General features: G+C 46.3%; 1 protein-coding gene across 3 annotated transcripts in view, besides 8 other annotated features; it reads left to right on the top strand.

Annotated features, from left to right (window-relative positions):
* Nucleotides 1,317-1,566: a silencer, noted in NCBI's record as "silent region_18904". NCBI's record gives its function as "represses an Ori minimal core promoter by ATAC-STARR-seq in GM12878 lymphoblastoid cells {active_cell/tissue: GM12878}" and the evidence as "EXISTENCE:reporter gene assay evidence [ECO:0000049][PMID:35858748]".
* Nucleotides 1,462-23,214, top strand: part of MFHAS1 (multifunctional ROCO family signaling regulator 1) — a 110,277-nt gene continuing 88,524 nt past the window's right edge. For all 3 annotated transcript variants that reach the window (NM_004225.3, XM_047422419.1, XM_011543852.4), the window contains exon 1: nt 1,462-5,031. In NM_004225.3, coding sequence (NP_004216.2) covers nt 2,034-5,031 — 2,998 coding nt within the window. In that variant the 5' untranslated portion in view covers nt 1,462-2,033. The remainder of the gene's footprint in view (nt 5,032-23,214) is intronic.
* Nucleotides 1,577-1,856: a silencer, noted in NCBI's record as "silent region_18903". NCBI's record gives its function as "represses an Ori minimal core promoter by ATAC-STARR-seq in GM12878 lymphoblastoid cells {active_cell/tissue: GM12878}" and the evidence as "EXISTENCE:reporter gene assay evidence [ECO:0000049][PMID:35858748]".
* Nucleotides 1,967-2,236: a silencer, noted in NCBI's record as "silent region_18902". NCBI's record gives its function as "represses an Ori minimal core promoter by ATAC-STARR-seq in GM12878 lymphoblastoid cells {active_cell/tissue: GM12878}" and the evidence as "EXISTENCE:reporter gene assay evidence [ECO:0000049][PMID:35858748]".
* Nucleotides 1,967-3,041: a biological region, named in NCBI's record as "H3K27ac-H3K4me1 hESC enhancer GRCh37_chr8:8749561-8750521".
* Nucleotides 2,081-3,041: an enhancer, noted in NCBI's record as "H3K27ac-H3K4me1 hESC enhancer chr8:8749561-8750521 (GRCh37/hg19 assembly coordinates)". NCBI's record gives its function as "activates a minimal SCP1, AML or CMV promoter by ChIP-STARR-seq in naive H9 embryonic stem cells {active_cell/tissue: H9 hESC(naive)}" and the evidence as "EXISTENCE:reporter gene assay evidence [ECO:0000049][PMID:30033119]".
* Nucleotides 3,042-4,001: an enhancer, noted in NCBI's record as "H3K27ac-H3K4me1 hESC enhancer chr8:8748601-8749560 (GRCh37/hg19 assembly coordinates)". NCBI's record gives its function as "activates a minimal SCP1, AML or CMV promoter by ChIP-STARR-seq in naive H9 embryonic stem cells {active_cell/tissue: H9 hESC(naive)}" and the evidence as "EXISTENCE:reporter gene assay evidence [ECO:0000049][PMID:30033119]".
* Nucleotides 4,002-4,962: an enhancer, noted in NCBI's record as "H3K27ac-H3K4me1 hESC enhancer chr8:8747640-8748600 (GRCh37/hg19 assembly coordinates)". NCBI's record gives its function as "activates a minimal SCP1, AML or CMV promoter by ChIP-STARR-seq in primed H9 embryonic stem cells {active_cell/tissue: H9 hESC(primed)}" and the evidence as "EXISTENCE:reporter gene assay evidence [ECO:0000049][PMID:30033119]".
* Nucleotides 9,800-10,774: an enhancer, noted in NCBI's record as "OCT4-NANOG-H3K27ac-H3K4me1 hESC enhancer chr8:8741828-8742802 (GRCh37/hg19 assembly coordinates)". NCBI's record gives its function as "activates a minimal SCP1, AML or CMV promoter by ChIP-STARR-seq in naive H9 embryonic stem cells {active_cell/tissue: H9 hESC(naive)}" and the evidence as "EXISTENCE:reporter gene assay evidence [ECO:0000049][PMID:30033119]".

The following is a 23,214-nucleotide window of genomic DNA, read 5'->3' as shown; positions in this document are numbered from 1 at the left end:
ATGCCTTTAACCAACTGAACGCAGTTTTCGGTCCCTGAAAACTATTTGCTTCCTTATCAATCAACCTGAAGGGAATGATGGAGGTGACACTGGGAGTCTTGGTAGGTTTCCAGACTTTCATAAGTTCGGGAGAAATTATTGACTTAGCATAGATGTGAGCTCAAAGAAACATTTCCTAACAGCAATAAAAATAAGCATTAGAGTTGAACAATGGACTGTGACTGTTTCCCAAAATAGCTGTTTTCTTGAGTCCGCAGAACAACAGGTACTGTATTAATGGGGATACAGTATTTGTTTCACAGCGTTGTTGTGAAGATAAACGGGATACCCCAGATAAACAGCTTGTGTCCCCCCCATCTTAACAACCCTCCTTTAGGCTGGCGGGCCACCTGCTCAAAAGCCTTCCCCAGGGGGGTTAAAACCGTCTTTTAGTAGTTCTGGTACGGGTGGGCTGGGGGAGATCCTCTAAAGCCAGTGCGACCTTGACCCCAGCCAATGTCCAGGCTCTTGACACATCCAGAGAATGAGTTCAAGGACAACTCAGAAAATAGTGACAATATGCAGATTTATTGCAAAGGGAAAAGTACACACCCAGGAAAAGGGATTGTGGAGAGGGTCACTCACAACGGGGCTTGGGGCTGCTACCTTTATGGGTTTCTTTAACCAAGGGGTGAAATATTCATGAAAATTCCTGGAAAAGTGTGGAGATTTTTCGGGACTGTGGTGCCACCCATTTTTACTTCAAATATGGGTGTCCCCGGAATTGTCATGGCACTGGTGTGACTTAGGATGTTAAAGAGCGTATAATGGAGGCCTAGGAGAAACCTAGGTCAAATCCAGGACCACGTCGGGTCCAGCCGGTCTTAGCCAGCTTGGTACACACCCTGGTTTTCAGGGTCTTATCAGCCCATAGCCTCCAGTCAAGTGAAACTGCTGCCTGGTATTTTTTATTCTCCTCTGACCAGCCTGCATTACTCCTGTCCCATGTTCAACACGAAATAGGGCCTCAGGAAATATTTACCAAATGAATGAATGGTTGCCTGTTCTAATTTTGTTTAACCACACTCTTGTCCTAAGCTTCTATGATGATACCCAGGGCCCCCGAGTTGTGCCAGTTCCACTACGGCGTGGATGCAAGGCGAGCGGCAGGGGAGCAGGTAAAGGATGAGTAAGGGAAGCCGGCGGATCCGACGCATTAGAGAACAAGAAAAAGAAATCCTTAGAGACTGGGGGCCAACAAAGAGCCAGGCGCGGGCGAACCCACCAGGGGGGCCCCGGAGCCCCACATCCGCCGCTGGGACGACCTCCCCGCCCAGCATGGTCCGGGGCGCGGACCCGGCCCCGCGCCAGGCGCCCCCGGCCCCGCACCCGGCGCCCTCCGCAGCTCCCGCCCCCGGGGCGGTGCCGGGAAAACGCGGCGCCTCCGCCGGTCACGTGGGGGCCGCTCCGGCGGGCGGCGCTGCCGCTTCCCAATCGCGCCCTCCCAGCGCCGGGGACGCGGCGCCCGCGCTCCCGCCCGAGCCCGGGGAAACGGAGACAAGGAGGCGCCGCCGCCCCCTCCCCGCGGCTGCGCCCCAGCCCTGCGCCCGCAGCATGCCCGCCGCCGGGCCGAGCGCCGCCCTCCCCCAGGAGCTCGAGGAGGCGACGCCGCTGCCGGCCGCGGGACCGCGGCTGCGAGGGTAGCGGGGCCGGAGCCGGGCCCCCCGAGGCGCCGCGCGGCGGGCGGAGAGGGAGGAGGAGCAGGCATCCTCCGCGGCGCGCGGGCGGCGGCCCTGCTGCCCGGCGCGCCCATGGCCCGGCCGCAGGGAGAATGCAAGCTGCTCTCCACGCGCTCGGCGTCCCCCGGAGCCGCTCGCGTCGCCGCCGCCCCCTAGCCGCCAGCGCTCGGCCGCTGGCTGCGCTAGGACCCGCGGCCGCCGGCCGCCGAGCGCGGGAGGGCAGGCAGGGGCAGGAGCCGGAGGGCCCGGGGCGCGGCGCGGCATGTAGCTGCGGGCTCCCGCGTCCGCGTGAGGCTGTCGGCCCGGGGCCCCGCCATGGCTGGGATGGACAGTGGCAACCTGAAGACCGCGAGGCTGTGGCGGGACGCCGCCCTGCGTGCCAGGAAGCTGCGGAGCAACCTGCGCCAGCTCACGCTTACCGCCGCCGGGGCCTGCCCCGGGGCCGGGGCCGACGCGCTCGAGTCCCCCGCCTCCCCCCAGCTCGTGCTGCCGGCCAACCTCGGGGACATTGAGGCACTGAACCTGGGGAACAACGGCCTGGAGGAGGTACCCGAGGGGCTGGGGTCGGCGCTGGGCAGCCTGCGCGTCCTGGTCCTGCGCAGGAACCGCTTCGCCCGGCTGCCCCCGGCGGTGGCCGAGCTCGGCCACCACCTCACCGAGCTGGACGTGAGCCACAACCGGCTGACCGCCCTGGGCGCGGAGGTGGTGAGTGCTCTGAGGGAGCTGCGGAAGCTCAACCTCAGCCACAACCAGCTGCCCGCCCTGCCCGCCCAGCTGGGCGCTCTCGCTCACCTGGAGGAGCTGGATGTCAGCTTTAACCGGCTGGCGCACCTGCCTGACTCCCTCTCCTGCCTCTCCCGCCTGCGCACCCTGGACGTGGATCACAACCAGCTCACTGCCTTCCCCCGGCAGCTGCTGCAGCTGGTGGCCCTGGAGGAGCTGGACGTGTCCAGCAACCGGCTGCGGGGCCTGCCTGAGGATATCAGTGCCCTGCGTGCCCTCAAGATCCTCTGGCTGAGTGGGGCCGAGCTTGGCACGCTGCCCGCCGGCTTCTGCGAGCTGGCCAGTTTGGAGAGCCTCATGCTAGACAACAACGGGCTGCAGGCTCTGCCCGCCCAGTTCAGCTGCCTGCAGCGGCTCAAAATGCTCAACCTCTCCTCCAACCTCTTCGAGGAGTTCCCTGCCGCGCTGCTGCCCCTGGCTGGTCTGGAGGAGCTCTACCTTAGTCGCAACCAGCTCACCTCGGTGCCATCCCTTATCTCGGGCCTGGGCCGGCTTCTCACCTTGTGGCTGGATAATAACCGCATCCGCTACCTGCCGGACTCCATCGTGGAGCTGACCGGCCTGGAGGAGCTCGTGCTGCAGGGGAACCAGATCGCGGTGCTGCCCGACCACTTTGGCCAGCTCTCCCGGGTGGGTTTGTGGAAGATCAAAGACAACCCACTGATCCAGCCCCCCTACGAGGTCTGCATGAAGGGGATCCCCTACATCGCAGCCTACCAGAAGGAACTGGCTCATTCCCAGCCGGCGGTGCAGCCCCGGCTCAAGCTGCTCCTGATGGGGCATAAGGCTGCAGGAAAGACTTTGCTGCGCCACTGCCTCACCGAGGAGAGAGTGGAGGGATGCCCAGGAGGAGGGGACAAGGAGAAGTGCTACCCACCGTCACCTCCCCCTGTGAGCAAGGGCATCGAGGTGACCAGCTGGACGGCCGATGCCTCCCGGGGCCTGCGGTTCATCGTGTATGACTTAGCTGGGGATGAAAGTTATGAGGTGATCCAGCCCTTCTTCCTGTCCCCAGGGGCCCTATACGTGCTGGTGGTCAACTTGGCCACCTATGAGCCTCGCCACTTTCCTACCACCGTGGGCTCCTTCTTGCATCGGGTCGGGGCGAGAGTGCCCCACGCGGTGGTGTGCATCGTGGGCACCCACGCAGACCTGTGCGGAGAGCGTGAGCTGGAGGAGAAATGTCTGGACATTCACCGCCAGATCGCCCTGCAGGAGAAGCACGACGCGGAGGGACTGAGCCGCTTGGCCAAGGTGGTGGACGAGGCACTGGCCCGGGACTTCGAGCTGCGCTCTGCCAGCCCCCACGCAGCCTACTATGGCGTTTCGGACAAGAACCTTCGACGGCGCAAGGCCCATTTTCAATACCTGCTCAACCACCGGCTGCAGATCCTCTCCCCCGTGTTGCCTGTTAGCTGCAGGGACCCGCGCCACTTACGACGCCTTCGGGACAAGTTGCTGTCAGTTGCTGAGCACCGAGAGATCTTCCCCAACTTACACAGAGTACTGCCTCGATCCTGGCAGGTGCTGGAGGAACTGCATTTCCAGCCACCTCAGGCCCAGCGACTGTGGCTAAGCTGGTGGGACTCGGCGCGCTTGGGCCTGCAGGCGGGTCTGACCGAGGACCGACTGCAGAGTGCCCTCTCCTACCTGCATGAGAGCGGCAAGCTACTCTACTTTGAGGACAGTCCGGCTCTCAAGGAGCACGTCTTCCACAACCTCACCCGCCTCATCGACATCCTCAATGTCTTCTTCCAGAGGGATCCCTCTTTGCTGCTGCATAAGCTGCTCCTAGGGACCAGTGGAGAGGGCAAGGCGGAGGGGGAAAGCTCCCCGCCCATGGCGCGGTCCACCCCCAGCCAGGAACTGCTCCGGGCCACCCAGCTCCATCAGTATGTGGAGGGCTTTCTGTTGCATGGGCTCTTGCCAGCTCATGTCATTCGGTTGCTGCTTAAGCCTCATGTCCAGGCCCAGCAGGACTTGCAGCTGTTGCTGGAGCTGCTGGAGAAGATGGGACTCTGTTACTGCCTCAATAAACCCAAGGGCAAGCCTTTGAATGGGTCCACAGCTTGGTACAAGTTCCCATGCTATGTGCAGAACGAGGTGCCCCATGCAGAAGCCTGGATTAATGGGACCAACCTAGCTGGGCAGTCTTTTGTGGCTGAGCAGTTGCAGATTGAATATAGCTTTCCTTTTACTTTTCCACTTGGGTTGTTTGCACGCTACAGTGTCCAGATCAACAGCCATGTGGTGCACAGGTCGGATGGTAAATTTCAGATCTTTGCCTATAGAGGGAAAGTTCCTGTGGTTGTGAGTTACAGACCTGCCAGGGGAGTCCTGCAGCCAGACACCCTGTCCATTGCTAGCCATGCATCATTACCAAATATATGGACCGCATGGCAAGCCATAACCCCCTTGGTGGAGGAACTGAATGTCCTACTTCAGGAATGGCCTGGACTGCACTACACCGTGCACATTCTCTGTTCTAAGTGCCTTAAGAGAGGATCGCCCAATCCACATGCTTTTCCAGGTAAGTGGAGAGAGGGAGAAGTTCTTCTGTGGTATGCTGTAAGATATGTTTTTGGAGATACTTGGTTGTCATTTGGCAGAATGTTTGTTTAACTTCACGGGTTCTCCAGGAAAGCTTCGTAAGGGAAACACAGGGAGATTTGGAGATGAGCAAAAGGTAGTAAGTACCTGAGCCTTATGAAATGCAGTCACAAGTGTCATCCTCTCCTAACAGACTCAGACTTCCAAAATGGGTTCCAGTCACAACATTTGCCATCTCCTTTCCCCTCTTGTCGATGTAGCCCACATTTGGTGGAAGGAAATTTCAGGTGGTTGAACAGATAGATTCTGGACAGTGTCCGATGTTAGCCTCTTACTGATCGTTGGCTAAAGTGTTCATTAGACACGTCTCAAAGGGGTAGATGAGTTTGAGTTTCAAGTGTCCAGTGTCACAATTTTTTAAAAAACTTAAATTTTCGTGAGTACATAGGTTTGTATATTTGTGGGGTGCATGAGATGTTTTGATACAGGCATGCAATGCATAGAAATCAGATTGTAAAATGCGGTATCCATCCCCTCAAGCATTTAAGCACTCTGCTTACATTCAGAATGTAATTAGAAAGTAAAAATTACTGCTCACTTTTCTTAAGAAATTCCAGAGAAAATCTTTTGTAATTGGAGTGAACAATGGATGAGTAAAGACAGAAATTTCAGACTGTAATGCATGACTAAATCCTGGGGCTGCTGCTCCCCTCCGCCCACTCAGGGACATGGAAGATAGATGACTGAAATCTTTGAGGGGCGTTTCCTCGGGAATTTCCTGGCAGTTTCGAGTTTTATAGACGTCTTAAGGTTTGTTTTTTGGTAAGTGTTAAGCAAATGAAGCTTTCTGGCAGTGCTTAATAATTGAGACGGAAGGGACAGAAAGCTAAGAGTTTTCTGGAGAGTGTTTTCCAGTAGACTTTTTTTTCGTTTTCTTTTTTTAAACCATCATAAGCAAGTGGAAGAATTCCAGGACTAGTTGTCTGGGGTTTTTTGTTTTTTTTTTTTTTGAAGACTTTTTTTTTTTTCTTAGAGCAGTTTTAAGTTTATAGCAAAACTGAACAGAAGGTACAGAGATTTCCCATATATCCCCTTCCCCACATGCGTAGCTTCACCAACGTCAACATCTCCCACCAGAGCAGTACATTTGTTTCAGTTGATAAACCTGCAGTGACACATCAGTACCAGCCAAAGGTCATAGTTTACACAGGGTTTACTCTGTGTTGGGCATTCTGTGGGTTTGGACAAATGTCCAATGACCTGTATCCCCCATTATAGTATCATACAGAGTAGTTCTACTGCTTTAAAAATCCTCTGTGCTCTGCCAATTCATTCCCCCCAACCCCGGCAACCACAGATCTTTTTACTGTCTCCATAAGTTTTGCGTTTTACTTATATGGGATTTTTTTCTTTTGAGCCTGGTTAATTGGTATCAAACTAGTTTTTAGTTGGGAACGTGTCCATTTCCTCATCCTTTGTAGTTCTTTAAACAACTGTTTTTGTGTGTGTGTGTGTGTGTGTGTTTTGTTTTTTGTTTTTTTGTGGAGCAGGTGGTTAACAACATTCCAAGTGTCCTAAGCACAAACCAGACAGAACAATAGCATCCTTGCACGTTTCTCACCTGGGTCCCCACCCCCAGGGGACCCGGAGGGGTGATGAAATGGAAGACTGCGTCCCACTCTGATCTTTGTCCTGGTCAGAGAGGGACAACAAGAATGCAGCTGGTAATAGTATCAGGAAGGAATTGAATACCAATATTTCCGAAGGTGACATCTTTCCGTTGCCCTGGATCTAGGTTGAATTTAATTCTTAAGCATGAAAAAAGCCAGCGTATTCAGTTACCAGTCAACTGAGACATCCATTCTGTATGTTTATCTGGAATCTTGTCACACTCCATGACTTGGTAGACTCTTCAGTTTGTTTTATATTTGTCATTGTGTGTTATTCATGGAAGCAAGATACTTCTTTATTGTGATACCAAATGGAATAAAGTGACTGGGAGTTACGCATTTACAGGGTAGTTTACTGAAGGAGCAACCTGAAGCCATTCTTAATCCAAAGTAATAAAAACGAATGTTATTAACAACAAAAGGAGAGACATAGGTTATTGAGCAAGTAAAGATCTTCTAAGAACTTTGAGGAGTTAGGGGCGAGGCTGGAGGTTTTTTTTTTTTTTTTTTTGTTTTTTTTGCTAACGTCAGCTCTTTATGTTTAATTTTTACCAGTCATAAATTCCACAGACAAGCTTGTACTGAGATGCAGAAACAAGCCCCTTGTCTTGTGTTGTCTATTTGCCTTTCAAATGAGGCACACCTGGTTTTGCAATCCAGGCTATAAGGAAGAGATTTTTTTTCAATGTGGAAAACAAATGATTGAAAAATTGTAAAATTATCTTATAGATTGAATAGGAATAAATCATCAGTTGTTTTTAGAGCACGATTATAAAATATATACATATACATATAATTATAAAATATGTACATATAAAATATATATGTATATATACACCAACGTACATATTTTTGTCTTATAGTCTTTTTGTTTTTTTTTGAATTGTGTTGTTTTTCAAAAGTAGCAGAGGGTATAGAATAGTAGAAAACATGATTATAGTACATTTCTCGTTACATTAAGAAGATGCAAAAAACATTTTCCTCTTCTGTATTTTTCTGTGATAGCCATCATTTGTTAGTAATTGTTACAGTTACGAAAGATTTGGTAAAAGTTAAAATAATGAGTTAGAAATAAAAGCTAAATGTGGGAACAGAATTATGTTGAGTGTTTAAGTAGAGCATACATTAAAAATAGATTCATTGAATCCCTAGATTATTAAAATATATATTAATTCAGCAGAAACCCTTTGAATCTATTGGCAGCCTTTGCCTTTTCATGTTTTTTTGTTTGTTTGTTTGTTTTTGAGATGGAGTCTTGCTCTGTTGCCCAGGCTGGAGTGCAGTGGAGTGATCTTGACTCACTGCAACCTCTGCCTCCTGGATTCAAGCGATTCTCCTGCCTCAGCCTCCCAAGTAGCTGGAATTAGAGGCATGCGCCACCACACCTGGCTAATTTTTGTATTTTTAGTAGAGGCGGGGGTTTCGCCAGGTTGGCCAGGCTGGTCTTGAACTCCTGACCTCAGATGATCCACCCACCTCAGTCTCGCAAAGTGCTGGGATTATAAGCGTGAGCCACTAGGCTTGGCCACCTTTGTCTTTTTAAGAAGTCATTTTGCTTCTGGGGACATTAAAAATTGTTTACTTTTATGTTTTATAAAAGCGTTAAGTTGTCCTATAAACTATAACAATTTTATATGCAACGCTGAAAAAGTTGGACTTTGAATTTTCTTAACTTTGGGATGTTACAGTAAAAGTAAATAGTAAATTACTGTCTCTCTTGATTTTATACAGAAAAAATGTATAAAGTTGCACTAATATCTTTTAAAGTATTTTTATGTGAAAAGCCTATTTTGGCCTTGTCCTGTTGGATTTTCTGGCCTGAGCTGCCCTACTGTAGTTGACCACGGGAAGTATAATGGTAAATTTCTCTTTTCTTATTTTGGTTTATACAAGAAAAGTAATGGGCAGCGTGCAGTGGCTCAGGGCTGTAATCCCTTTGCTTTGGGAGGCTGAGGCAGGAGGATCACTTGGGTCAAGGAGTTCGAGACCAGCCTGAGTAATGTAGCCAGACTCCGTGTCTACAAAAAAAAATAAAAAATAAAAATCAGCTAAGCGTGCACACTTGTGGTCCCAGCTAGTTGGGGGGCTGAGGTGGGACAATCACTTGAGCATGGGAGTTTGAGGTTGCAGTGAACTATGATTGTGCCATTGCACTCTGACCCTGTCTCTTAAAAAAAAAAAAAGAAATGATTGGAAAATGCACATCCAGCAATCACTAGTTTCATAGTTTTTTGTAAAAATAAATCACATTGTCAGAGAGAAGACCTATTTGTCTTATTTAAAATAGGTAATCTGACAACGTGATTATCTTTTTAAGACATCTTATTTAAGACAAATGGGTTGAGTGACAGGAGATTCTTTTGGAAACTCGGAGATGGCCTATGATGAAGCCTAAATGTCACTGTGAAAGTCTTGACCTGCTTTCTCCATCCTGGCCAACATCCTAGCCTGGTCAACCTGGTGAAACCCCATCTCTACAAAAAATACAAAAAAATTAGCTGGGCATGGTGGCTCATGCCTGTAATCCCAGCTCCTGGGAAGAATGAGGCACGAGAATCCCTTGAACTTGGGAGGCGGAGGTTGCAGTGAGCTGAGATTGTGCCACTGCGCTCCAGCCTGGGCGACAGGGCAAGACCCTGGCTCCGAAAAGAAAGTCTTTACCTGCTTCCTGCAGGTACCCTTTCTTTTTTGCAGACTTGCTGCCCATAGCTGGTAGCCAGGATTCCCTTCCTTTTGCTGTTTTCCTTCTCATTGGTTGGTCCTGTATACTTGTCTTAGAGCAAGTTTCTTCTTGTGGGATATTTGTTTATGCTTTTATTCTGTTCTACCAGTATGACCTCTAAACTCAAAGAGTTGGTACTCTTGAAGTTGAGTGAGGGTACATTAAGATGTGGTGGTTAGGACACGGGCCTGCAGCAAGATTCAAGTGCTTTGATATTCCTTTTAAGCAGATGAGTGAATACTGTGTTTTTGAATTGGAAGAGTGTGTCTTAGTGAGTTAAACTTGCATTGACTGCAGATTTTCACTAAATATCCTACTCTCCAAATTATTTAAGGTCATTTTAAAAAATAAGGAGAAAGCAACCCAAATCAGTAGACAGAATGAGTTATGTGGCTTTCTTTAGCTTTACTGTCTTTCATTTACTCAGTAACTTGATGCCTTTTTGTATCTCATGCCAAATGTCTTCTGTCCCTCAGTTTCTTGCACACGGAGTGTACCTCTCCGACAACACAGCATATTTGACTTGTTTTGTTGGTGTTTGGTTGCGTCATGATATATCTTTGATTAGGTTGTTCACTTGCTGCTTCTGAGCCAGAGACACACCCGAGACTTAGTAGCTTCTGCAGAGCCTCTCAGATGTTTGCTGAATGATAGTTTGGTCTTTTTGTGAGAAATAACTTTTTTTTTGGGGGGGTGGGGGCAGGGTCTCACTCTGTCACCGAGGTTGGAATGCATTGGGGCAATAATGGCTTACTGCAGCCTCGACCTCTTGGGCTCAGGTGATGATCCTCCTACTTCAGCCTCCTGAGTAGCTGGGACTCCAGAAACACCCTACCATGCCTGGCTAATTTTTGTGTTGTTTTGTAGAGACAGGGTTTCGCTGTGTTGCTCAGGCTGGTCTCAAAGTCTGCCTGCCTCAGCCTTCCAAAGTGCTGGGATTATAGGCTTGAGCCACCATGCCCTGCCTGAGAACTATCTCTTTTTCTTTGTTATTCACACACTCAGTGAAAATCCCAGGTAGTATTGTAATGATTATCTGGCTTTGTTTAGCTTCCCAACTCCCTCCCCCTCACAGTGTTCCTCCAGCATTCCCATTGTGCGTCTATGACTGGTCTTACCCTTGAATGGGTCCTTCATTTTGACCACTGAAGCAAAGCAAAATTCTTGCCTTATTATATCTAAGTTTTAGAATTACTGGAATTTGAGCATGACCTAGTTGTTTGGATTGAATTAGTCATTGTTTTTAATTTTACAAAGGTTTTTCAATATCTCTTTGGTTAAGCTTTATTAATATTGATGCTTCTTGGCTTTTCTTTTTATGAATAGGCCTCTGAACTCCCTGGGACTTTGTTTTATGTAAAAATCAAAACCTTAATCAGGCACTAGGATAAACAAATACTGTGCAGAATAGAGTTCTAGAAGGCTAGAAAGGCCTTTGGAGTATTTGAATTATTTTAAATATTAGGTGCCTCTTCTTTAAACCCTGGAATAGACTCTTAAGTCCATCTCTGCACAAGTAGTTTAGAATTTCCTAAAGTATTTTTTCTTTAATTTTTTTTTTCTTTTTGTGTGTGTGTGTGTGTGTGTGTGTGTGTGTGTGTGTGTGTTTGTGAAATAGAGATAGGGCCTTTTTATGTTGCCCAAGCTGGTCTTGATCTCCTGGCCTCAAATGGTCCTCCCCACTCAGCCTCCCAAAATGTTGGGATTAGAGGCGTGAGCCACCATACCCAACCAGTATTTTTTATTTAGTGGATATTTTATGTCATACTCTGAGGTTATTCCCCTTTGTCCGTGAAGAGGTGAGGGGCTTTAACTCTGTATTATAGGAGGGGAATGAGTGGGGAAAGGAGGAATTGGACATTTCTGTTTTTCTTCTCATCTACCTATTAACTTGCTTCTATCCATGGGAGCCCTTTCTTTTTTTTTTTTTTTTTTTTTTTTGAGACTGAGTCTCGCTCTGTTGCCCAGGCTGGAGTGTAGTGGCGCTGTCTGAGCTCATTGCAACCTCCACCTCCTGGGTTCAAGTGATTCTCCTGCCTCAGCCTCCCGAGTAGCTGGGATTACAGGCATGCACCACCACGCCCAGCTAATTTTTGTAATTTTAGTAGAAACGAGGTTTCACCATGTTGGCCAGGCTCGTCTTGAACTCCTGACCTCACGTGATCCACCCACCTTGGCTGCCCAAAGTGCTGGGATTACAGGCATGAGCCACTGCGCCTGGCCCATGGGAGCCCTTTTTGATTAAGGACACCTGACCATCCATCCATTAGGGCATCAGAATGCCTGCTGATTTTGTTTTGTTTTGTTTTGAAAACCAGCGGGTGGGTGCAGGCCCAGTACTGCCCTCTCTTGTCTCTGGCAGCCTTGGCGTCCCTGTTCCCTGGGGATGGAGGTCTGCTTTGTGTTTCCAGTCTTTGTGGAAAGCACATCAGGTAGGCTCAGGTCTCAGTCCTCTCTGGTTCAGCTTTTCTTTTCTTTTCTTTTTGTTTTTGTTTTGAGACGGAGTCTTGCTCTGGCGCCCAGGCTGGAGTGCAGTGGCACAGTCATGGCTCACTGCAACCTCCACCTCCTGGGTCCAAGTGATCCTCCTGCTCCAGCCTCCTGAATAGCTGGGACTACAGGGGTGCACCACCATGCCTGGCTAATTTTTGTATTTTTAGTAGACACAGGGTTTCACCATGTTGGCCAGGCTGGTCTCAAACTCCTGACCTCAGATGATCCTCCCTCCTCGGCCTCCCAAAGTGCTGGGATTACAGGCATGAGCCACCGCACCCAGCCTGGTTCAGCTTTTCTGATTGCAACATTAATTGCTGGGGGGTGGTTGTCAGGTTTACCTTCTTCTGGGGGCTGGCAGCCTTCACTTCAGCAGGGAGGGATTAGGAACCCCTGTTTGGCCTGCCTTCTCCAAGGCTGCTCTAGCATGAATGAAGCTGTGCAATGCCTGGCACAGGGCAGATCAGGTAGAAGGGGTCAGAGCAGGTTGGTTATTTTGAAAGAACTCAAACTCTCATTTTTATTTTATTTTATTTATTTTTTTGAGATGGAGTCTCACTCTGTCGCCCAGGGTGGAGTGCAATGGCGCGATCTCAGCTCACTGCAACGTCTGCTTCCCGGGTTCAAGTGATTCTTCTGCCTCAGCCTCCTGAGTAGCTGGGATTACAGGCGTGTGCCACCACGCACGGCTATTTCTTAATTGATGCCTGGCAAGTGCTTTTTTGGTTGTTTATGATATTTTGTTTGTTTGTTTGTTTGTTTGTTTTGAGACTGAGTCTCGCTCTGTCTCCAGGCTGGAGTGCAGTGCCACTATCTGAGCTCACTGCAACCTCCACCTCCTGGGTTCAAGTGATTCTCCTGCCCCAGCCTCCCACGTAGCTGGGATTACAGGCACATACCACCACCCCCAGCTAATTTTTGTGTGTGTTTTTTTTTAGTAGAGATGGGGGTTTCACTATGTTAGTGAGGCTGGTCTCGAACTCCTGACCTCAGGTGGTCTGCCCGCTTTGGCCTCCCAGAGTGCTGGGATTACAGGTGTGAGCCACCATGCTCGGCCTGTGATGTTCTTTATCTTTATGCATTTTAAAGGAAGCCATTGTCATTGTCCCATGTGGTTTTTCTGGTATACATATTCCTGCCTTCCATATCTACCGCCTAATTCTTACAGAAATGGGGGAAGAGTGGGCAAGGGGCACTTAGCAGCAGGATGCAAATGTGCATTTAATGCAGGAGCTGGCCACAGAAAGCCTTCTACCACCTGGCCTTGAGGCAGTGAATACTCCAACCTCCCAAAGCTGATGGTTCACTGGCTGCTGCTTTCTTTTTTTTTTTTTTTTTTTGAGACGGAGTCTTACTCTGTCACCAGGTTGGAGTGCAGTGGCTCAATTCTCCTGCCTAAGTTCAAGTGATTCTCCTGTCTCAGCCTCTCGAGTAGCTGGGATTACAGGCAACTGCCACCACGCCTGACTAATTTTTGTATTTTTAGTAGAGACAGCGTTTCACCATGGTGGCCAGGCTGATCTCAAACTCCTGACCTCAGGTGATCCGCCCGCCTCAGCCTCCCAAAGTGGGATTACAGGCGTGAGCCACCATGCCCAGCCAACATTCTATAGTGGGGAGCATATAGATGGTGAGGAGCGTGAGGTCTGATGGTGGAGGTGGAATAGGTGCAGGAAGGAAGATGTTTTCAGTGGTTCCCGGAAAGTGTGTACAGGTTACACCTGCTGGTGTGAGTTCCTGGAAGGTCATGGAAGGGTGGCTGGCGTAATGCAGAGATGATTGCATGTGTACTCTATATGATGGTGGCTGCGTGGATAACAGTTCCCAGAATCCACTGCTAGCAGGGCTGACTTATTTCTGGAGACCAAGAAGGAAACATTCTGAGTTATTTTTATTTTTGGCACTAAATCCTTCAGAACATTTTTCCTTCCTCAATCTCTTAGCTGAAAATACTGGGGCTTTGTTTATTAAAAGAGTAAATTTAATGAAAAGCTATCACCAACAAGTTTTTTTCTTTTGCTGTAAATTTATAGAAGCAAAGAGTCTAAAAAGTGCACGTTGGAGCAGGAGAAGAATGTGGGCAGAGGAAGACAGAGGCATCGGGTTACTGCTGGTGGGCTTGCAGGGACATTGTGAGTTTGGAGCCTGTTTCACCCATCTTAGGAAGGTATGGGTCAGGCGTGATGGCTCACACCTGTAATCACATCACTTTGGGAGGCTGAGGAGGTGGATCACTTGAGGTCAGGAGTTCGAGAACAGGTTGGCCAATGCGGTGAACCCTCATCTCTACTAAAAATACAAAAATTAGCCAGGTGTGGTGGTGTGTGCCTGTAATCCCAGCTACTTGGGAGGCTGAGGCAGGAGAATCACTTGAACCCAAGAGGCGGAGGTTGCAGTGAGCTGAGATTGCGCCGCTATACTCCAACCTGGGCGACAAAACAAGACTCCATCTGGGGGAAAAAAAAAAAAAACAAAAAAGGAAGGGATGTCCTGCCCTAGACCGACAGCCCCCAGCACCCAGCCTATTGCAAATGGTTTCTTTCACTTTTGCAAATCTGAACAAGCATGCTTGGGAGAAGGGCGAGGAGGCAGGGAAACTGGAGTCATGTTAAGACTACTCTCTGGAGGTTTCTGTTGTGCGTGTGCCATTCTGCCTTTTGGGTGATGTGGCTTAATGAGTCAAGCCCTGATGACTGATGCTGCTTTTCTTCCTCATCTTCCTCCTCCTCTTCCTCCTATTGAGTGAAAGTCACATAATATGAAAAAGCCATTTTAAAGTAAACTATTCCCTGTCATTTAGTACATTCCCAGTGTTGTGCACCTGCCACATCTCAGCCAAGCACCTTTGGAGGGGTGGGGCAGATACATTGGTGTCATTCTTCCTGGGGCCAAGTGACTGGGAATTCTTTTGCCAGGCTTTGTAGCAACTTTCTTTCCAAGGTGTAACTTAAGAGTAGGGGTTTTGGGGCTAGGCCTGGAGATGCCATGTTGATTGGAGATCTTGGACACGGTTGTGGGGATCCTCTTAGTGTGGATGAGAGGACAGAAAGGAGGGCATCCAAGCCTCCTGGTCTGTTCTAGGGTGTATGTGATTTAATGAGGGGTGACATACACGAGCTCCGTAAAGAACACGTAGAAGAGAAGTACAAATAAATGTTGTGTAATTCTTGTCTTCTGCATAGAGCTTTTTTTTAAAGATAAATTTTAAGTTTAACTCCTGGAATGACTGGCAAGACCTAATGAAGGTAGAGTGGCAGCGGGTGGTGATGGTGGCAGTGATACAAATGTAGATGATTACCAGATTAGATAAGTGTCGTCAATCACTGTTGAATACCTGCTCTATACAGAAGTTTGTACTGAACTGGGAGTTCTAGGAAAATAAAATACCTGATCTTGGGCTTGGGGAGCTGTGTTGGGATCTTGGTTAATGTCATTGTTGATTCTTGTAAATACGGAATCTGACCCCATATGGAGAAAATCATTTGCATATTTGAATGTTACTTTGGGGGGAACCCTGGCTTTTGATTTTTCCAGAAAAAAAATGTGATCCTACTGAGCAAAGCAGGCCACAGCTTTGAATTTCCTTCAGATGTATGAGTAGGTGGAAAGTAATGGTCAAGTCCTTCTTTTGAGTTGACTTTCAGTTTGGATTACTTGTTTGCGAGAAATCTCAGGCAGAACTTGTGAGGATGCTGGAAAAAGGAAATTCATTGTATATGAGGATCTCTAAAAACTTCCCAAACGAATCAGCCTTTCCAAGGAAAAGAAATGCCTTTTCTTCAGGAGTCCTTACCTTTTTTTTTTGAGATGGGAGTCTCTCTCTGCCACCCAGGCTTGAGTGCAGTGATGCGATCTTGGCTCACTGCAGCTTCCGCCTCCCGGGTTCAAGTGATTCTCCTGCCTCATCTCCCAACTAGCTGGGACTACAGGCATGTGCCACCACACCCAGCTAGTTTTTTTTGTATTTTTAGTAGAGACGGGGTTTCATCGTGTTGGCCAGCCTGGTCTCAATCTCCTGACCTCAAGTGATCCTCCTGCCTCGGCCTCCCAAAGTGCTGGGATTACAGGCGTGAGTCACCATGCCTGGCAGTAGTCCTTACCTTTTTTGTCATTTATAGACTTGCTCCCATCTGGGGAAGGATTCAAATCATCAGTCATTTCTGAACACCAAAGACTATATGAATGCTGACTCCAAAGACAGCATCCATTAAAGTGCATATCATCATAATAAAAATATATGACTGCTGGATTTCTTTGCTGAGAGATGCTTTGAAGTACTTTTGTACTATTAGCATATTAAATGTTGAGAAAATTAAAGAGTTTAATTTTCTTAGATCCTCCTTATTCCTAAAATGAAGTCTATGCTATTAACATTGTATTAGTACTAGGTTATAGCAGTAGTGAATTTTAGGTCTCTAGAACAAGCCTCCCTCCCTTCCTCCTCACTCTTTCTGTCCTTCCCTCCTTTTTTCCTTTTTTTTTTTCTTTTTTTGAAAAGAAGGAATTTTTAAAAACGCAATGGAAAGGGAAAACATAAAACCAGAAAAATATTTCGCCTGGGTGCCGTTGTTTGACTTACCAACTTTATTATTGTTTTAATATGATTCTTGTTTTTCATGTCATAAAGGTAATTGTGTTAATCATCACATCAGTCTCCCTATTTTTGGAGAAAAATAGAAGAGGTGACAATGTTGACGTTTTCTCATGTTGCAGAGACAGTGCTAAGTGCCTCCTAGGGGTGATCTTATTTAATCCCCACAGCAGCCCTAGGAAGTAGGTATTATTACTGTCTTTGCTTTCAGAAGGAGAAATTGACATTTAGAAATTAAGTGAATTCCCCAGAGTTAGAGAACTCTAGGATATCAGCCCCAAACCTCTGCTCTGACCCACCGTCACTTGGGTCTCAGTTAGGTTGCCATTGATTTCCAGAGTACACCAGCTCACCTCCTCTCCCTTCATATTCTAAGTTCTGGGCAGACAGTCTGGTACTGCACAGGAGCTGCCCGTGCAGAGGTCAGCGGAGGTCATGGTCAGGTGGAGGTAAGGTGGGGAGAGCGCCATCAGGGGTCTCAGAGAAGGGTTCCCAGAAAGGCCACACTGTAGTTGAGTGTCAGAGGATGATTTCTAGTTAACCACCTGAAGAAGGGAGGTGGGTGGAGCATTTCAAGTTAGAATGCCATTTAAAAGGCAGGGAGCAGACAAAGACTTCAGCAGGCCTAGGGGTGGGCATGTGTGGGCACAGATGCGTTTTGCATTTAGAAATTATAGTAAGGGAGAGACTTCTTTGTTTAAATGGCATTCATGGACTGGTAGACACTTGCCAGTGACCCACTGGCCCATCAACTAGAGTTTTAAAAGCATTGTTCTAGCCTGTCCCTTTGTCATTGGGCTGGGCTCTCTTGAGACCTTGGAAGAGATTTATGGCTGGGAAAACGGAAGGGTAGTTTCACATTATTTGCTCAGACTCATAATCAAGTTATTGTTAAGCTGACAGAACACCTGCTCTGCAGAGCCATGTCTAAGCGTGCTGCTGGTCACTTTCACTATGTCGGAGTAGAGGGAGAAGAGTAGCATTGGTTATTCATTCTAACATCAGCCAGAGAGCCGCATGCCTCTGTAATCCCTAGGAATGTATTCCAGAACATCGATTTTCCCTGCTCTAAATCTTACCCTAATAGACCCTGCAATAAAGGCAAATTCGGATCTGACACAATTACCATTTTATTGTGGGCTGTTTAAGTTTCACTATATTTACTTTATGCTTTTTTGTGTGTGACACTACTCACTGACTGAAAATGCCATTTTTATTAAATTTGCATTAATGGAACACCGTAGTTTTTTTTTTTTTTTTTTTGAGGCAGGGTCTCACTCTGTCACCCAGGCTGGAGTGTGCAGTGGCACAGTCACAGCTCACTAAAGCCTTGACCTTCTGGGCTCCAGTGATCCTCCCACCTCAGCCTCCCCAGTAGTTGGGACTACAGGTACATGCCACCATGCCCAGTTAGTTTTTATATTTTTTATAGAGACAGGATTTTGCCACGTTGCCTGGGCTGGTCTCAAATTCCTGGGCTCCAGCAGTCCACTCACCTTGGCCTCTCAAAGTGCTGGGATTACAGGTGTGTGCCACTGCGCCCAGCCCTGGACCACCATGTCTTATGCACTTCATTTGTTGGACACCACTTACCGCACTATGACAGTGGTTTCATTTTTTTTCTTTTTTTTTTGACTGAGTCTTGCTCTGTCATGCAGGCTGGAGTGCAGTGGCATGATCTTGGCTCACTGCAACCTCTGCCTCCTGGGTTCAAGTGATTCTCTTACCTTAGCCTCCCGAGTAACTGGGACCACTATTTAGAAGAGTGATAAGTTTGTGGATAAAAAGTCTTTTCTTCATAGAAGAGGTGGAATACAGTATGATCTCTGTTCATATGAACACCTTATGCTCTTTTAAAAGTACTTTTTCCCCTTTATAAAAACTTATAGGCCAGGTGTGGTGGCTCACACCTGTAATCCCAGCACTTTGGGAGGCCGAGGCGGGAGGATCACGATGCATACACCACTATGCCCGGCTAATTTTTGTATTTTTAATAGAGACGGGGTTTCACCACGTTAGCCACACTGGTCTCGAACTGCTGACCTGAGGCAGTCTGCCTGCCTCATCCTCCCAAAGTGCTGGGATTATAGGCATGTGCCACCACGCCCGGCCGACAACAGTGGTTTCTTGCATCTTATCATCATTTGAGTTTGTCTTCCCTTGCCTGCCAACTTATCAAAGTTTCCTCAATTACATTTAATCAAATCCTAGGAAGTACAAGGTATTTTTAAGTCTTAGGTTATATTTTGTTTGTATTTGCTTTATAGATTGACTTGAAACAGTTGGGATTTTGTGTAGTTTTCAAATTGAAGCATTATAATATGGTGGTTAGTTGCAAGAGCTCTTGGAGTAGACTGCTGGGCTCTAATCCCTGTGCCACTGCTTCTTAGTTATGTGACTTTAGGCATCATAATAGTTTGTGTTGGTTCTGAAGATTGAGTTATATGTGTTAAATGCTTAGAACAATGCTTGACACCTGGCAAGAGCTCAGTAGGAGTTTGCTGCTGTTTCCACCATTCCAGAAGGTACAAGAGTCTAAACATACTTTTAGAAGAGTGATAAGTTTGTGGATCAAAACTCTTTTCTTCATAGAAGAGGTGGAATACAGTATGATCTCTGTTCATATGAACACCTTATGCTCTTTTAAAAATGCTTTTTCCCCTTTATAAAAACTTATAGGCCGGGCATGGTGGCTCACACCTGTAATGCCAGCACTTTGGGAGGCCGAGGCGGGCGGATCACGAGGTCACGAGTTCGAGAGCAGTCTGACATGGTGAAACCCCGTCTCTAGTAAAAAATTGCAAAAATTAGCTGAGCGTGGTGGCACGCACCTGTAATCCCAGCTACTCAGGAGGCTGAGGCAGGAGAATCGCTTGAACCCAGGAGGCAGAGGTTACGGTGAGCTGAGATCGTGCCACTGTACTCCAGCCTGGGTGACAGAGCGAGACTGACTCAAAAAAACATAAAAAATTTGGAGAGTAGAAGAAAAAAAAGTTTCTCATGGTGGGTATCTAAAGTAATCACTACACATTTTGCTCTGTGTCTTTTAGCTTTGTTTCCTCCTTAAGCTTAGGTTTTAAAAATATGTAGTTATAATTGTATAAATAATTCAAATATTGATTTTTTAAACTTATGCTAACATGGATATAATTTCCTGTGATTAGTATTTATACAGTAATTAAAAATGCTTGCATAATAGTACATCAAGGTGATTTTTCACCTTTGTTTATTTAACCTTGTGTTCTTTTTGTTTATCCAACCATTTGTGCTCTTGTTCCCAGTTTTTTTTGTGAGTGATTCTCTGATGACTGTATTTCTTTATAAAAACTCTTTTTTATTTGGGCAGTAATCCCCGAAGTAGAGTCATTGAGTCAAAGGCAAAAAATGTCATTAAATCTCAATGCACGTTTACGTTGCTTCCCATGAGGATGGGCACGTCAGATGCAAGATCTTTTTCACTGTACCTCCTCAACATTGGGTATCATCTATAAAATGCACTACCGTTTAATGGAAACAATATGTCACTGGTGACTGAAGATTTTAACTAGTGGATGTGAACGTTTTCTTGTATAAATGTTGCCTAATTGTGTTGCTTCTTTTCTGAATCCTCTAATAACATCTTCTGGCATCATCTTGGTGGTTTTTCTTTTTTTTTTTTTAATCACAGTGTTTTATCAGTTTATATTAACTCTTCATATATAAAAGATAACCTTTTGTCTATCATACTTAAGGCATTTTTTTCTAGCTTGTTCCCCTCTTTGCTTTAAAAACCTTTAACGTTTTGAAGTTTCAAATTTCATTCAGTATATTAATAGCTTCCTCTGTGATTTCTTCTAGAGCTTAAAAAAACCTCATAACATTTTTCTAAATACAGAGGTGACAGCGGGAATCACATAGTGATTCTTCACCCTTATAACTTTAACTGAAAATAAAAAAAGTGCTATCCATATGTGGATGGTAGATTCATTAGCAAAGCCCCCTTTTTCATAACCCCTCCCCAAACTGTCTCCTCTGTAAAATGTTTCTTGCTGATTTCTTCCAGGGAAAATAAAGCATGTATTTGCATATATTTTAACAGGAATGAGATCATGCTGTACTCCTTGTTCTGCACCTCGCATTTGATCACTTCAAAATATATTTTTGAGATGCCTCCATATGAACAGTTAGAACCCTGTTATAGAAGATTATTATGTGTGTGTGTGTGTGTGTGTGTGTGTGTGTGTGTGTGTGTGTAGAATGTTATAGTATATCCTACAAATATAGCATAGTAGTCTACCAATGGATGTATTGTTCAGTCACACCTATACCGGCAGACCTTTGATCCTTTCCAGATTGTTAAACTAAGTACGTTCTCCACCTTCCAGAGGTGTAAGAAATACTCAGTTTTATTTCCTTCAGGGTTAATAATCCCTCTCTGTGCTCGGAACACTCTTGAGATGCAATTAGAAAAAGACAAATCTCTAAATCAAAGTGGTGGGACCTAAAAAAAGCCTCGAGGGTTATGAAGGCTTCGCTTTGTGATTTGAAACAAGGTAATTTTTTTAAATTGGCTTTGGTGATGTGTATTGGAACACCATTGTTTTCAGCATAATTACGCATTTCACAGCTTAATTCAGCCATTACACGTGATGCAGTGTTTAGACATAGCAATAATTACAAATTGTACATGTTTACAGATAGATATACCGCTGATCAAAATAAAACAGTGGCAGCAAGAATGATGTTCTGTCCATGTAAGAAATCAATGAAATATAATTAAGAACGAACTGTATCTCATTGACTCAAAACATTGCATCTGCCTTTCTGTCCCATCTGTTTTCTAAACAAAAATCTTCCCGCGCTGCGTGGTTGTTTTTATTTGTATCCTAGAACCATCCTCTCGAGTTCCACACCGTTGTATTTTCTACACCTAAGCTTGGTGTGTTCTGCACAGGAAATGTTTCTTGGATGTTTTATCCTCATACCAAGTGGGAATTTAAAATTTAAGAGATTACCCACACTCTTTGCCTTTCTGTACATGTGATGAAGAAAGAGTGGGTGTAACCCAGCACTCTAAAATGTGTTTGACCTGTAAAAAAAAAAAAAAAAAGTAAGCAATTAAATCCTGTTATAGTTGCTTCTGTGTTTAAAACATACTTAATGACGTATATATTTATTTCAAGCTAACAAAGTCCCCAGTCAGGTTCTTGGGAGTTTTTTTCACAGGACTCATTGAAGTGTTTGGTCTTTAAAATCCTTCATTTCATGCTAACTGCCAAGTCAATGCAGACAGTATGGCCGAACAGAGCTGGTCACATTTTCCCTGAACATGCTATTAAAAAATATATTCACTGGGATTCTCTTGACTCATGGCATAGCTGAGGTGACTTTGATTCCGGAGGGCTATTGCTTATGAATTGCATGTGGAAGAACTAAAAATAGAAATGTGAATTTTCCAAAAGAACACTATGATACCAAAAATGGCTCACTGGCTTGCCTAGAGCTGGGCTGTTTTGTGCCCAAGGTACAGTAATAAGAACTGGGATGCAAAGCCCTGTAGGGTGCATCTGTCCCCTTCCCTGACACCCCTCACTCCCAGATGGCTCACGAGTGGCACTGCCCGGTTGTCTCCGTCTCACTCTTGCACGATGTTCTGCTGCCTGTCTGGGATGGAGCAGGTGTTCTTTTGAATGTATTTGTTAAGCCTCTGAAATATATGCATTTCCCCCTCCCCAAGAAAAACACACATGTGCATGCTCTGTGCTTTTCCCTGGTTACTGTATTGTTCCCATCTTTTTTTTTATTTTTATTTTTTCCCTTGGAATAGGGAATATCCACTCATTTTCTATTTAGTCCCTTCAGGAATTTGCCTTAGGGGCTGTTGGGCCAGGCCTCACTGCAGCCAGCCAGAGCTTATCAGCTGTGTGTTAACCTCTCCCAGACACTTCTTGAATGCTGTTCATGCATCCGAGCCTATGCATCTGAGCCTCCTCTGTGTAATGTGGTGCGGCATTAAAAGCTTACCCAAATAGCAGGGATGATTGCATCTTGTTGATTACCAGGGCTGATAACATTTTCTTGCTTAGCTAAAAAGAAAAGCCAGATGACTGTTTCCAGGAAGTGATAAACTGCCATGCATCCGGCCCCAGGTGGTCCGCATGAAGGAAGCTGCAAGGTTGGAATCCTCCTGCCGTCCCCTTTTACAGTTCATAAATCTTCTGATTTATGGGGCCATTTGTGATTGCAGACACATTTATTCATGGGGGGATTTCCATCGAGATCATAACCCACTGTAAAGCAGGAGGAAGAATCAGGAATTAGAACGGTGTACATTCCTCTTTGTTAGAAAAGAATCCCGATTCTTTGGTCATAGACAAATATTTGCTTTTGAAGAATCTGGTGGTGTGTCGCTGGCTTTGTTCATATCCGTGCACAGTCACATGCTCCCTTGCCTCCCATGGACCCAGAAGCTTATGTTACACAGATCGTTTTATAATGCTTGCCATCCGGGCATGTTTATGCAAAGTGTGAATAACTTTTTGCCTTAGCCTCCTCTTCCTTCCTTCTCCCTCCTTTGATTTAGCTCATTTCTGGAATGGGGCAGATTTTCATCTCAGGGAGTTGATACGGTTTCCTAGGTAGGGTGACAGAACAAGTGTCACCTTAGCTGTAGCTAGAGATGAATATTGCCATGCAGCTTACTTGCTT

The sequence above is a fragment of the Homo sapiens genome, chromosome 8 (genome assembly GCF_000001405.40).
Source record: "Homo sapiens chromosome 8, GRCh38.p14 Primary Assembly".
NCBI lineage: Eukaryota > Metazoa > Chordata > Mammalia > Primates > Hominidae > Homo > Homo sapiens.
Note: the sequence above shows the minus strand (reverse complement) of the source record. Positions and strands in the feature narration are given on the sequence as shown.